General features: G+C 46.9%; 1 annotated feature.

The window, feature by feature from the left end:
• Nucleotides 13,663–14,862: an enhancer, noted in NCBI's record as "CDK7 strongly-dependent group 2 enhancer chr20:59738200-59739399 (GRCh37/hg19 assembly coordinates)". NCBI's record gives its function as "activates an origin of replication core promoter dependent on BRD2, BRD4, P300/CBP, MED14 and CDK7 cofactors, with strong dependence on CDK7, by STARR-seq in HCT116 cells {active_cell/tissue: HCT116}" and the evidence as "EXISTENCE:reporter gene assay evidence [ECO:0000049][PMID:35650434]".

Below are 15,772 nucleotides of genomic sequence, written 5' to 3'. Positions count from 1 at the left end.
ATCAGTACCTATAAAAGTACTGAATTCTTTGTCATTGACATAATTTTTCATAGCATAGACCAGGGGTTCGGCAAACTGCAGCTCACAGGCCAAATCCTGCCATCAATCTGTTTTTGCTCAGCCCTCCAATGAGGAATGGTTTTTACATTTTAAGCTGTTGTTAAAAAAATACAAAAGAAAATACAAGGCAGAAACAGAATGTCCAACAAAACCTAACACATTTACTGTCTGGTCCTTTCTAGAAAATATGTGCCTGCTCCTGCTGCAGAAGTACCAGGGCTTATCTCCCAAGTTCCCTACTGGTGAGCAGTTTAGTCTTGTTATGGCCTGAATGTTTTTGTCCCTCCTGGATGCACAGGCTGAAATACTAACTCCTAAGATGATGGTGTTAGGGGATGAGGACTTTGGGAGGTAGTTAGGTAAGAAGGGAGCGCTCATGAATGGGATTAGTGCTCCTGTAAGGAGAAGCCAGAGAGCTCTATCACTCTTTCTGCTATGTGAGGATGCAGAGAAGGTACCATCTGCAAATCAGGAAGTGGAAATCAGGAATCTCCCTACACAGCAGATCCACCAGTGCCTTGACCTTGGAGTGTGCAGCTTCTAGAACCATGAGCAATCCATATCTGTTGCTGAAGTCACCGAGTCTATGATAACTTGTTACCGCAGCCCAAACTAAGACAAAGCTGCTTCCAGATCAGTATTTTTTTGTAAAATATAGCTAATGCAAAATTTACCATTTCCACCATTTTTAAGCATACAATTCAGTGGTATCTGATACATTCACAATCCTATGAACCATCATCACTATTTCTAGAACTTTTTCATTGTCCCAAGCATAAACTCTGTATCCATTAAGCAATAACTCCCCATTCCTCCCTCCCTCCCTCCAGCTCCTGGTAACCAACATTCTATTTTCTGTCTGTTTGAATTTTCCTATTTATTCTAAGTACTTCATGTAAGTGGAAACATACAGTATTTGTCCTTTTGTGACTGGCTTATTTCACTCAGCCTAATGCTTCCAAGGTTTACTCGTATTGGAGCATGTGTCAGAACTAACTTTCTTTCTTTCCCTCTCTCTCCCTTCCTTCCTTCCTTCCTTCCTTCCTTCTTTCTTTCTTTCTTTCTTTCTTTCTTTCTTTCTTCCTTCCTTCCTTCCTTCCTTCCTCTCTCTCTCTCTCTCTCTCTCTCTCTTTCTTTCTTTCTTTCTTTCTTTGTTTCTTTCTTTCTTTCTATCTTTCTTTCTTTCTTTCGAGACAGAGTCTCACTTTGTTACCCAGGCTGGGTGCAGTGGCATGGTCTCAGTTCACTGCAACCTCCACCTCCCAGATTCAGGTGACTCTCCTGCCTCACCCTCCTGAGTAGCTGGGATTGCCACTGTGCCCAGCTAATTTTTGTATTTTTAGTAGAGACGTGATTTCACCATGTCAGGCTAGTTTGGAACTCCTGACCTCAGGTGATCCACCTGCCTTGACCTCCCAAGGTGCTGGGATTACAGGTGTGAGCCACTGCACCCGGCCAGAACATCCTTTCTTTTTAAGGCTAAATAATATTTCCTTGTGTGCACACACCACAATTTGTGCATCCATTCATCCATCGTGGCCATCTGGTTCATTTTCCCTGTTTGGCTATTGGAAAGAGGTACTGCTATGAACACTCATGTACAAGTATCTGCTTGTGTCCCTGTTTTCAGTCCTTTTGGCCATATACCTAGGAGTGGTATTCTAGTTTAATTTTAATTTTATTGCTAATACCATAAATGCTGCAATGAACCCCCTTCTGTGTGCCGCCTCTTGTTCTTGCATGCAGGCATCTCCCTAGACTGGGAATGGAGAAGTAGGACTGCTCTGCCGAAGGTGAGGTGCATTTTAACTTTTCACTGGGGCAGTTTCACCTTCAGGAACTGAGTAGGCAATGCCGCCTCCATCATTGTGAACATGGCAGTGCAGGGAAGCCTTCTGATAGACAAGCTCTTGGGGTCACAGGGCTTCACACAACATTTGATTTTCCTGTGTCTCCCTGGGGCTGACCATTAAGAGCCTCTTGTATCTCCAGTATATCTATATTCTGCAGAATGGTGTTCTGCCTAGCTCTGATTTATCCTCAAGATCATTGCCTCTAATTATTTTCATTGACAGATTTCATGAAACAAACATTGGAATACACCATCACCTTAATTTTCTGAGGTGCCATAATAAACCTCTGGCTTGTGAGAGCAGCCAGCTCACTTTACTTGCTGGTCCTCATTCAGTGTGCTGGGCTGAACCACAAAGCAGCCCGCTTTTCAGGATCCTCACTTCTGCCTTCTCTTTTGGGTGCTGGCAAACCGTGTTGACCTGTACGATTGAAAAAATGTGGGCACATGTAGGTGTTGTCCAGCATCCTGGCTGGGCATCTAGAGGCCACGTCTCTGGTGGCTCAAACCCTCTGGAGGGTAGGGATGCAGGAAGCTGCTGGTCAAGAGCAGCAGACAATTAGGGATTATAAAAGTCCTTTGACCTTCCAAAAGGTGTCCTAACCCCAGTGCAGCCTGAGATGAGTTGACTGGCTTGAATCCATGGAAGAATCAATGGCTGGAGGCTAAATGAAATTTGAGGCTATCCAAAGAGAAGAGAAGAGGTGAACAGAGTGAGGATGGGGACCCTCCATGAAGACAGGGCCATCGGGGGCTCAGAGAGCCCCAAACTGGTGGAGCACCCATTTCCAGGGGCTCCTGAATAAAAAAATTCTGCTGTGGATAAGCAAAATGTGGTGCATACACACAATGATATATTATTTAACCTCTGAGTTTGAAGTTGCTTCTGCCGTTGTGATGCCTATCACAGAAACACTCATCATCACCATCTTTCTTTGAGTTCCTCTTGGTTTCCAGCCATGCAGCTGGGAGGAGGGAGGGATATGGAGGAAACCCTGCAGGTTCACACTGTAGAGGGGCAAGGCCTACTCCCCCAACACCTCCCATCCGTTTCTCTTTACTTTGCAAATTCAACATATTTTTAGTTTTGTTGTCTTGGGTCTGCAGCTGCAAGAGCCCCTCTTCTGGCTCCTAGGACCTACATGGAAGCCTGGCCTCAGCCCATGGGAGTGTTCCTTCTCCTTCAAGGCCCCTTGGGGACACAGGGCTTGTGCAATGCCACAACATGTGCCTTGCCCAACTCGGGGAGAGAACACATCTGCCTGAGACCGGGCTCTATGGCAGAGGGTCTGTACCCTCTCCTCCTGAAAATCATCCAGGTCTGCTTCAGCGCAGCACAGTGTCTGTCTATATGATGTTCACAGTTGGGAACCTGGCCCAGCAGCAGCCTCTCTGCTCCCTTTTAAAGGAGAAGCTGCAAAACCTGTCCTGCCCTCACCGCACTGTGGGGACAGCAGGAGCATCGGCACCCTGTGGTCCTGCCTCTCCCAGGCTGACTGGTCCAGGGCCAAGCATCTGACTGAGGAGCATCCCCTTCCTGGCTAAGTCAATGACATAAAACCCCTATGGTCTGGATTAAATCCAAGCATGGTCAACTAGGCTCATTTGTACCAGACACATGGGAGGGATTTGCCAGTGTTTGGTGCAACAGGAAGAAGTAGGGAGCAGCCAGTTGCTGGGCAGTTTCTGGAGGAACCTGTGAGACACAGCCTCCTAGTCCTGGTACAGAGGACTCTGAGCCACCCAGATTCAGGTTTGCCCCCATGGGTCCCTGGAAGAACCTGCCCCACAGCCTGCACACCTCAGATTCCTTGGGATTCCTTGTATGGCTTCCTGTACAACCAGAGTGAAAACCCTGCCCCCAAGTGAGTCTGAGTGGAGCCTTTGTTGCTTGTAACCAAAGAGCTAACCTAAAACATGACATTCCTAAGTGCTTAATAGCAATACAGACACTTTCTTGAGTTCTTGCAGGGTGTCCAGAGCTTAGCTAAAATCATTACAAGAGTTGAATCACTTGATACTCACAACCCTATACACATGTTTATTCACATGTCATGCATTTTTTGGGTACCGAGTGCAGGCCAGACAGTTCTAGGCACTGAAGAGACCGTCATAAGCTAGGAGAAAGTAATCCCAGCCCCCAGGGAGTGTGCAGGTAGTAGGCACAATATAAACACACAAATGAACAAGATGCTCTTAGAGAGTTGGGTTTTGAGGCAGTAACATGTGATAAAGGAAGGAGAGTCCAGGAGGGACGGAGGATCTTGAACATCGTTTCAGCTGAGACTTAATGCTGACGAGTATTTGGCAAGTTAAAGATCTGAGGTGATCTTGGAGATGGATTGTGGATATGGTTGTTGGGTGTGGAGACAGTTGATGGATGGTGGTGATGGCTGATGGATAGTAGAGATGGTTAATGAATGGTGGAAATGATTGATGGATGGTGGCGATGGTCGATAAATGGTGGTGATGGTTGATGGATGGTGATGGTAGATGGATGGTGGAGATGATTGATGGATGATGGAGACAGTTGATGAATGGTGGAGGCAGTTGGTAGATGATAGTGATGGTTGATGGATGATGGTGATGGTTCTTGGATGGTAGAAATGGTTGGTGGATGGTGGAGATGATTGATGGATGGTGGAGATGGTTGATGGATGATAGAGATGACAGATAGATGGTGGAGATGGTTGAATGGATGATGGGAATGGTTGATGGATGGTGGTGATGGTTGATGGATGGTGATGGTTGATGGATGGTGGAGATGGTTGATGGATGGTAGAGATGGTTGATGGATGGTGGAGATGGTTGATGGATGGTGGAGATGGCTGATGGATGATAGAGATGGTTGGTAGATGGTGGAGATGGTTGATGGATAGTGGAGATGGTTGATGGATTGTGGAGATGGTTGATGGATGGTGTTGATGGTTGATGGATGGTCAAGATGGTTGTACACAGTGTGAATGCACTTAATGCCACAGATGTGTACATTTAACAATGGTCAAAATAGTGAATTTTATGTTATATGTATTTAACCACTATACACACTCCCACCACCCACCCCATATATATATGTGAACATCTTTTGTGGGGAAAAAAACATTCATTGTTATCTTGGAATATTTAAAACAAAGCCAGAACGAACTGTGAAGTTGGGGAGAGAACAAGAGGCCCTCACTGCAGTCACTTTCCTGAATGGTGTGTCCACATCCAAATCCCTGGACCTTGTGAACATGACCATATTTAGAAGAAGAGTCTTTGCAGGTGTGATTAAGTTAAGGATCTTCAGATGCAGAGACCCTCCTGGATTATCCTGGTGGGGCCTAAATCCTGTGACAAGGGTCTTACTAAGAGGGAGGCAGAGAGGTAAGCCAGACAGAAGAGGAGGAAGCAGAGATGGGTGTCATGGCTGGAAGCCTCCAGCAATGGGATAGGAAGAAGAGGAAGGAATGGAGCCTCCCCCAGAGCCTGTGGGGGATTGTGGTCCTGCCAACATCTTGATTCACGTTTCTGGCTTCTAGATTGTGAGCCATTACACATCTGTTGTTTGAATTAAAAAAAATAAAAAAAATTAAAAAGAGATCTGGGACAGAGCCTAGGCAGAGGGATAGTGAGTGCCCAACCTCCCAGGAAAGGAGAGAGCCCAGGGATGGGAGAGACCCTGCACTGTAGGGCAGGAAGGTGGGCAGTGGCAGCAAGCAGGTCAGACATACAGGGCCTGTGTAGGTATTCCTTCCCCACGTACCATCAGGCTCGAGGAGGCTGGGAGCTGGGAGCCTAGGGACATTGGGAGAGGGAGCCAGGTGCAAGCATCTGGGGTGTCCAAAACACATCAATGTGATGGTACAGCATGTTCAGAACCTCTAGGACTGGATGCCCACATCAGGCGACGCTCACGCAGGTGATGTATCCCTGGGTGCTTCTAAACCCCTCCACTCAGGAAAGAAAACCAGAATGCAAGAATAGTGCCTTTGCATCTATTGCAATATGCTTAAAATATATTATTTACCAGCTGCAGTGCTTAATTTGCCACAGATTATTTGCAACCACATACGACTGTCTGCAGCCATAGCAGTGCACATAACCCTCTGGTTGGGAAGCCTGCCTAAGTGCCCAGCAGCAAAGGTGCTGGCAAAAGAGTGGAACATGGGATGGTTAGGGTCCCTGGCAGCAGGAGAGGTGGTCCTCAGAGGAGCCGTGCTGAGACTCACTTTGTCTTTAGTTCCCCTCTGATACTTTCCAGAGAGCCCCATGGGTGTCTGGGGTGTCCACTTGAACCCACAGGGACTCAACTGAATGCACCGATGGAACTTATCCCTGGCAGGTGTAAGCAGAAATGAGGATCTACTGGTGAACGGAGCTGAAAACATGCGGTGCTCAACAGTGCCCAGATTGCCTTCTCACTCTCCCTCTCCACGACCTCCAGGCACAGGCAGAGACCTCCAAGGTGGCAGCTCATTGGAAAGCGACCTTCTCTGTCCCATCTTTCTAGAAAAAGCCCCATGGCTTGGATCCCATCACAGCTGCCAGGGGAATGAGCCCTTTATTAGACCACGTCTGCAGTCAAGCTGGAAGATAAGAAGTGTGTCAGTGTGCCAGTGCCTGAGTGTGCATGAGTGTGAGCAGTTGTGATGGTGCATGATCATGTGTGGGTGTGAACATGTGTGGGTGCCCGAGGAGGGTCCTGAAGTCAGGGTGTGGGTTTCTTTTATGAGGCTCTGCAGTAAAGGGAAGTAAGGGGAACAATGTAGCGGTGGGGTTTTCCTGGCCCATGCATGGTAGTCCACCATGCCCTTCATACAACATATGTCTCATTAGCATCTGAAATCTCCACCTCCGGACATGAGTTTTAGCATTAACATAAGGAAAAGGTAACTATGAGTTGGAAGTTAAGCCTAGCTGTGCATGCAGGGCCTTGGGAAAGTTACCGATCCCCTAAAGCAGAAACATGTGGTTAAAAGCTTCTTGGGCCTTTGACGCTGATTGGCTGGAGTTACAGCTAGAGGAAGGGGCCTTTGTTCTTTTTTTTTTTTCTCCAGACCATGTGGAAACAGGAAACCAGCCAGCTTGCCTGTCTCAGGCCCACCTGTGTCACCCTTGCCTGTCTTATGAGCAGGGCCTGGATGGGCAGAGGCAGCTGGGTCACTTCTTCGTTTTAATGACAGAGGAACCTGTCCACAAAGTCGCCGTCATTCCTGCCCTCTCAGTAGACAGAGGTCTTGTGCTTGCACCAAGAGCATTCCATGCCGAAGCAAGGACTCCACTTAGCCTCAGGTGTTCCCTGAAGACAAGTGACTTGTGAGCCAAGCCACTCCTCTTTAATGCATCTGAGGAAGGGCCAGAGTTTTCAAAGAGCTCATCCTTGGCCTAAGCTTTTGGCCAACTGGGAAAATGCGCATCCCCAATGAGCCCCATAGCCTCATGCTGGGTGAAGCATGTCTAAGACCCGGCATGGACTGGCGCAGGACCCTGGGCCCCGGGCTTGAGTCAATGATGCAGTGATCTGGAAAGAAGTATTTAGGAACATCTATTTAGTTATGGTCCAATTCCCTTTTACTGCATCCTGCTGAAAACTTTATCCCCAACAGTTTTGCAAATGAGTTGAGCTGGCTGTTAGCAGAAATCCATTCATTAATGTGGATATTTTCATTCACAGATGGATACGTTTGGAGCATCACAAGCACTTGGCGTGTGTAGGGGAGAGTCGCAAGGCACTTGCTGTTCAGGACAGGACAGAGCTCCAGCACCCCCGACCCTCACTCAGCACCAAAGGGGCGTTTGCTACTTTTGCTCATCTAGCCCAGTGCCAGGCATGTCCAGGACTTTAGTGATCCTTGCACTCAGTGAATAATTTAATTAATGGGAGGATGAACAAGAAGGCAAATGACTCCTCCAGCTTCTCCCTCTTGAGTCTGCTCCTGGGCCAGCAGAAAGCAGCTGAAAATAAAAGCGAAGCCTCCGGCCATTCACCGGGCCAGCTCAAAGCTGCTGCTGGTTGTGGTCATCGATGGGCAATGACCTGGAACTCGGGCGGGCAGCTCCAACTCATTCCACAGCAGCTCTTTGTTACGTTTATAACCCTTAGAAAGAGCAAGTGATTTACTGTCAGTGTTTTATCTAGCTGTGGGCTAAACAGTCTCATAGCATCCTTGGCTTGGTGATTCGAGAAGAAGCAGGCTATTTTTGTTACTGTTTTCTTAGCATACAGTGAAGACAGATCCAGCCAATGGATTTCACAAAGGACAGACTCAAGGAAGGAAGAGACAGAGGGGCACAGGAGGATACAATGATGGCACTTCCACACTCAGTGGCAGTAAGCAACCTGGCCATCATTCCTGCAACACCTGTTTGCTTCTGTTAAAGGGTGAATATTAATCTGCAAATCAGGGCAGCTATGATACAACACATCCTTTTCTTTGAGATACATGCAATCATTAATGAGCCTGTGATGGTTAATTTCAGGTGTCAACTTGATTGGACCATGGAAAGCCTAGATATTTGGTCCATCATTGTTCTAGGTGCGTCTGTGAGGGTGTTTTGGGATAAGATTAACATTTATTTTTATTTATTTATTTATTTATTTTTATTTTTTGAGACACAGTCTTGCTCTGTTGGCCAGGCTGGAGTACATTGGTGTGATCTCAGCTCACTGCATCCTCCGCCTCCTGGGCTCAAGCAATTCCCCCACCTCCACCTCCCAAGTAGCCTCCCTGGCTAATTTTTTGTATTTCTGGTAGAGATGGGTTTGCCATGTGGCCGAGGCTGGTCTCAAACTCCTGAGCTCAAGCAGTCTGCTCACCTTGGCCTCTCAAAGTGCTGGAATTACAGGCATGAGCCACTGCGCTTGGCTGAGAGTAACATTTAAATTGGCAGGCTGAGTAAAGCCAATTGTCCCCTACCCCACCTCAGTATGGGGGGCCTTGTCCAATCCTTTGAAGGACTGCATAGAACACAAAGGCTGACCTTCCCCCAAGTAAGGGAGAATGCCTCCTGTCCGATGCTCTTTGGTCAGGGGCAGCTGCATTTTTCCTGCCATTGTGTAACGCAGGATCCCTGGGTTTGGGACATGCATGGCACAAAAACACCTGTTTGTAACTGTTGTACCTCAGTTTTTGTTGTTTCAGAAAGTTCCAGGAAGAAGCTCAGCCCTGGAAAAACAAAATCTGGTCGGTCCAGAGATGCCTGAGTTGGAGATGAGCTTTGGAGAACTCTCCTCATTACCACGCTAAACACCCGGCCCAGGGAGGAGCTTATTTGCCGTTTTCTATACATGCAATGTACATAGAAGCATGATCAGCAGCCACGCCTGCACCGCTTTTACCCCACCTCTGCATGCAATGTCTCAGCTCACCAGCCTAATAAAAGCCCTGTTATCAGCTTTGTTCGGGAAGGCACTGCTTTAGGGTAGGGACTATCCCTGGTGTCCTCTTTACTTGCTGCAAGTAATAAAATCCCTTTGTTAAATCTTCGTTGCTTGTGGCTACTGGACTATCACCTGACAAGCAATGGAACCCACCCATTGTGCAGGTAACACTCCCGGCGTCCCAGATGGGAGGAACACTGCGGACTTGTACTGCAACGTTGGCTCTTGCCTGGTCTTGAGACTTCTGACTAGAACTGCATCATCGGCTTTCCTGGGACCCCAGCTTACCAGCTCCCCCTGCAGATCTCAGGACTTGTCAGCCTCCATCATTGCATGAGCCAATTCCCTACAATAAATCTCTCTACACATACATCCTGTTGGTTCTGCTTCTGTGGAGGACCCTGGCTGACGCAAGCTCCCGTGATGAGAATTCAATGCAGTCATTGCGAAGGCTTCACCCCCAGGTGGTTGCTGCTAGGGTGTCAGAGGAGGTGTGCAGGGACAGAAGCCTGGGGAGCTGCCTCGGGGTTTCGTCTTTATTGGTCCCTGTAAATGTGCCCTTGTCGAGTTGGGCATGGCTCCTGGAAGGGGGACTCTGCAGCACCCACCCTAAGCCTGGGCGTGTGGATCTTTGCTGGCACTGGGAGCCACCCTCTGGGCTGCAGCCTGCTACAGAGCGCCACGGGGCCAAGTCCAGTGTGGCTGTGAGGACAGAGCCCCTCAGCACCTGTAGCTCCCTCTCTTCCCCACATGTTCTTGTCTTTCCTCTGGCCACCTCTTCGTCATCCCCTCCAGGGGTCCTCAATGGACTGATGCTGTCATGGCATCAGGCTGACAGGTGCTCTCCAGGCAGCCTCTCTGTTTGGTTCTGACACGGCCTTCCAGGCAAGAACACACATGCACTCTCAGAGGGTGGAAGAAACACAAAATCTTACTTCCAAACCTTGTCCTTTCACAAGGCCTCGGGACTCCTGTGACATCACCAAGGGGAGGGAGGATTCCTTAAGGAGCACGTTTAGATGGATGACTTGCCTCCATTTTATTGAAGGTTCTGAACTAATGATTACTTATTTTAAAACTGCCTCATTACTTCCATCTTGACTTCAACTTGAATTCAGCTGACAGGGAAATGCCCTTTGGGATTAGATTTTAAAAACATTTGGGGTAAGTAGAGAGCCACCTTCACCCAGGAGGTGCAATCAAAGAAGATTCCACTTTCTATTTTACATACTCTAGTTTTTTCATTATGAGGACATATTATTTCATAATAAAAATTAAACACAGGCAAAATGGTTTATAATTAGCATATCATAAGAATTTATAGGGAAACGCATGTCTGGAACCTGCTTGGAAGCTGCATGTGCTCCTACACATGGTGTAATACAACAAATGTAATCCCTGTGTTTGTACAGGAATTGGATTTGCACCTAGGTGTGTCTACTAAAGCAAAAGTTTTTCATGAAGATTTTTTTTAAACCAAAGCCTGCATGAGCACAAATTCTGAATTAGCAGAGTTCAAATTAATGATAATTTCCTACAATTAAAGTGGTTTTCAATCAACCAATTGGTCAGCGTTTACTGTGTTCTGTGGGCAGCACCCTGGAGAAGGAACAAATGGGCAGCAGGTGCTTGTGCTGAGTAAGCAGCATGGTGGACGTAAGGAGCACCAAGAGCACACACATTTATTTTCCCTTGGGCTTCTAATATCCTGTTCTATGTCTTTGCAGAAAAAAAGCACCTTTCTGTCTTTTGATTCATAATTCATATGCTTGGTACACCAGGTCTACTTATGATCACAATTGTTAATGTTTTCTCTTTGTAAGCGTTTGAGCAAAGTCAATATTTTAGTGTTGACAGTTAGTGCTTGCTCCACATAATTTGTATATTACTTTCCTTAGAAACTGAAAAGAAAAGAAAGAACCCCCCCACCCCGAAATAAAGTTTTAGGTTATGAAGATCACCACCACGTTGAAGATTCAGGACCCATTTATCTTATGATTTTAAAGAAATATTGGAAATATTAGCAGTGGCAAGATATCACTAGAGCAGTCTACAAGATAAATTAGAAACAATGGTGTTTTGCTTTTGATTTATTACACAGAAAATATAAATGCATTCCAATGAGTATTACTCAATGAGTGAAAAATGCCAAGGACGGTTGATCATGATTATTTTAGGCTAAAAATTCTGTCCTGTTGTTCTATCAATAGACCAGTTGCTAGGAACTTTAATCTGTGTGACTTCCTTCTCTTGGGGAATGCCGGGATTTTATTCTCTTTCACTGGCCGAGAGGTGAGTGGAAGGATGGTTCTGGTGCACCTGACTACAGACAGGAGGGCTGAGATTTCTTGGCTGAATGGCTTTGTTAGGCAAATGATTGCTAAGGTGGTGCAGATTGTGATAACATGTCAGGCACCCTCCCACAGTTCAATCCCAATCATCGCTGGTTTCCTCTGTGTCCTGAATTTGGTTATAATACTATGCCCAGACACACTAGGATTTCCCCATGGTTGGACTGGCACCCCCTACACCTGGATGGATCTGATGTGAGGATGACTCTGGAATCTTCCTTGGAGGTGGCAGTTACTCCATCAGCCAGTTCTCATGAAGTTGGCTGGATAAGCCAACCAGAGCTGAAGCACTTTACACAAGAGTAAAGATTAAAAAAAAAAAAATAGGACTCTGGCTGGATGTGGTGGCTCACACCTGTAATCCCAGCATTTTGAGAGGCCGAGGTGAGTGGATCACTTGAGGTCAAGAGTTCGAGACTAGGCTGGCTAACATGGTGAAACTCCGTTTCTACTAAAAACACAAAACTTAGCTGGGGGTGGTGGCACACACCTGTAATCCCAGCTACTCAGGAGGCTGAGGCAGGAGAATCGCCTGAACCCAGGAGGCAGAACTTGCAGTGAGCTGAGATTGTGCCACTGCACCCCAGCCTGGACAACAAAGCAAGACTGTCTCAAAAAAAAAAAATTGGACTTGAGTGCCTATTTTAACTATGGGTCACAGACTCACCAACTGCCTACACAGCAAAAGGCTGTCAGAGCCACAGGTCTTTTCAATGGAGCACCACCAGCCAGACATGACCACAGCCTCCTTCCTGGGCATTCCTCAAAATGAACATCAGGAAAAGCCAGAAAAAAAATGTTTAAAAAACTTGGAAACACTAGTCTGATGTCATGGCTCTAAAGTAAGGGGCAGAAACAGATGCACCAAGGAGAATCCAGAACCTCTGACCCCAGCGCCTAAAATGTGGCGGGCATGTTTAAACACGTTTCAAATTCTTTGAGTCCTTAATCCCAGTTCTGAGGGGTAGTTTTTATTATCATCAACCACATTTTTCAAAGGTGGAATCTAAGGGCCTGAGAGGTAAAGAGACTGGCCACAGTGACACACGAGCTGCGGCGGAGGCGAGATCCGAACCCCAGGCTGTGGCGGTTTCGCTTTTTTAGCTTCGTCGTGGCCTCTCCTCCTTCCCCTAGCATTCCAGCAGCAATGCAATTGCCACCTAAATGAATGGGCTGGTGGCAATTTGGAAGAAGACACTTGAAGAAAAACATCTTTAAATGGACGGTGGTACTTGTCATGACTGTTCTAAATTTCTCTGCTCCCCAAAGTCTTCACTTTACTGGGCACTGAGAGGTCTCTGGGCTTCTGACACACCTTTACCAGCAAGTCTCATCTTTGTGGGTGACATAATGAAGGCTCATCCTCCTGCCAGGGGCTCAGGAGATGAAATATAATTCTGAGAGATGCGGTAGACTCTTTGGTTAAGAAAACAAAACTAAGGTATAAGAAATAATTAAAAGCTGCCCAGTGCTGAAATGTGTGACAGTCTCTCTAGAGGAGCATTTCTCATTTCTCAGCATCTCCACATTTCTCCACATCTCCACAGTAGCCTGATTGGCTACTGTCATTGTGGACCAGAAAATTCTCTGTTTTGGGGGTCATCCTGTGCACTGTAAGGTGTACGGCAGCGTCCTAGGCCTCCACCCACTCTTCTCCAGCTGTGACAACCAGATGTGGTTCCAGGTGTTTCCAGGTATCCCCTGCATGGAGGGGCAAGACCTCCTCTGGCAGAGTGCTGTGACTCTACCGCGTGGACTAGCATGGCTTCACTGCCTGGGCCAGGATGGAAAACCCTCCAGTACTCCTCAAATCGTGAGCTTCTTTCCTTTCTGTTTGTTCTTTCCATTTCTAGGATGGAAAAGAACGTTTCTAGGACAAAGCCAGTCTCTGTCTCAGGGAAGTACACAGATTTTTTTTTTTCCAGAATCATTAGTTCATCATTTTTTAGAACTTCAATCCACCCATCTTGGAAGGACGGGAAACGTGGAGCAGGCTCGAGGAAGGGAAGCATTTCTGGGCATTCTCTTCTCTTCCTTTTTGCAGCCCAGGTTCTTGGTGAGTTTTGGAGACAAGTGTTAAAAAGGGAGAAGGAGCCTCTCTGCTATAATCCTTGCCTTTGTTTCAAGTACAATTTCATTATGTTCTCCATTTAGTCAGTTTGACCGGAACAGAGGAAATGACCTCCTTCCATACGGCCTCATTCTGAAGGTACATTTTGTTTCCAGGAGCGGAAGAATTTTGACTAACTTAGAGCTTTTAACTTCAGAACGACCCTGGCACACAGCTTGGGCTACTCAATTCTGGTCGGATCACTTGAGACCCTAAATGGTCCTTTAGAAGCACGGTATTTAGTGTGTCTATCAATTTCTTAGTATTCTGAGACATGGAGTGCCTATCACTGCTTATTACTGAGATCAGCTGTGGCCACGTGCACGTGTCACCGGCCACCCACGTGGCATATCAGTGACTGACCTGCAGTCTCTGTGCAGCTGGGTTTCTGGCTTTTCTTTCTCTGCTGCCTTAGGAGGTCTTGATAAAATACCAACAAGCAGCAAGGGAGAGCCCTGATTGTACATGAAAACAGCATCCCGTCAAACAGTGCGGAGACTGCAGCCTTTGAAAATAAAACGAGAGAGATAAATAAGGGTACAAATCTCCTAAAGCAATAAAGAAAACTTTGACATTTTAGAGCCAATATGGTATCAGAAATAGATTTTTTATCTCTATTTTTCATTTGCCCTTTAGTCTATAGATCACAATTCAGGAAAGCAAATAAAGGGACTGATGTTACGGGATGTGTATTTTACCCGTGATGGAGACATCGTGGTAAAGCCTTCTCTTATATGTCGGTAAATAAAAGAACGCTATTACAAGAGGTAATCAAAGAAATAAGAAATATAATCGCCATTGAAGAAACAGACTGCTACTCTGGGCATTCTCTCAGGAAAGGAATAGATACCAGGGCAGATGAAATCATATTTTCTCTCCCTGGTTTGTTATGGCTCTTGCTGACATAAAAAGAAAGCCAGCGCTTCTGTGTCCGTGGGCCCCAGCGCTGCACAAATCACACAGCACAGCGTGGTTTCTACTCTGCTCCTGCATGACACAAGCACCTGGTTCTGGGGCTCGAAGCTGGAACTGCCTCTCCTGCTTGTGGAGGGCTTGGGGACTGCCAAGGCTGGTGGCTGGGGAGCTGACAGGTCTGTACTGAGACCCAGGGAAGGAAAGCGGGTGGAGGGTGTGGGGTGACAAAGGTGGGCGTGAGTTGGTGGTGACCTACTTACTGAGATGAATCCATATTGCAGAACCTTAGCAGGAGACACCTCCCTGACATCACCCCAGTTTGGCCGCCATGTCCCTGGCTTCTAGAACACTTCTCAGATATTATCGCCTGGGTCTCCTCCCACCCACGATGGGCTGAACGCATCAGTAGTTGCACTTTGGTTGGTTTCCTGTCACCCACAATTTCCCCCACTGTACCCCCTCCTTGCGTTACTCTCCTTGGTGCAGCTCAAAAGGGGCATATTGCTATAATATATTCATCCTCATTTCTATAATCCCTTTGGGGGGTTGAATTCTTAGAGATGTGGCACCTGGTGTCTGAATCTCGTAGCCTCTCGTGGGAAGAGGCGTGCCTATAAATAAGCCTCAGGGAGACGCCAGCAGCCTTGCTCCTGCAGCAAGCACTGAGGTGCTAGGCGCCTGGGCTTTCCCTTCCCTTTTCCTGAAATACAGACTGGCTTCTCTTTGGATATTGGCATCCAGCCTTCTGGCAAACTGGGATTCAGAATGGCAGAATATAGACGCCGTGAATCTAGTGTCAATAACAGACCGATACAGGGGACAACTCAAGCTGAAGGAGGTTCGCCGTGCAGAAAGGGCTTGCTTCTCGCCAAGCGCAGTAGCCAAGGTTTGAAATGCAGCTTCTGAACCCTTACCCGGTGGTTTCTCCTCTGCTCCCGTGGTGGTCTGGGCAATGCCAACTTGTCCTATTGGGTGGATGATGTGGTGATTTTGCTGCAGCTTTTCTCAATCTCAATATGTTTTGTAGAAGTAAAGGATGGCATAATTTATCACAGTTGAACATGCGCTTTGTTCAATGACAGGGTAATTAGACATTCTTTCAGCAGACACATTAAATATAC

This window comes from Homo sapiens, chromosome 20 (genome assembly GCF_000001405.40).
Source record: "Homo sapiens chromosome 20, GRCh38.p14 Primary Assembly".
Classification (NCBI taxonomy): Eukaryota; Metazoa; Chordata; class Mammalia; order Primates; family Hominidae; genus Homo; species Homo sapiens.
The sequence above is the reverse complement of the archived record's forward strand: the minus strand, read 5'-3'. Positions and strand labels throughout refer to the sequence as shown.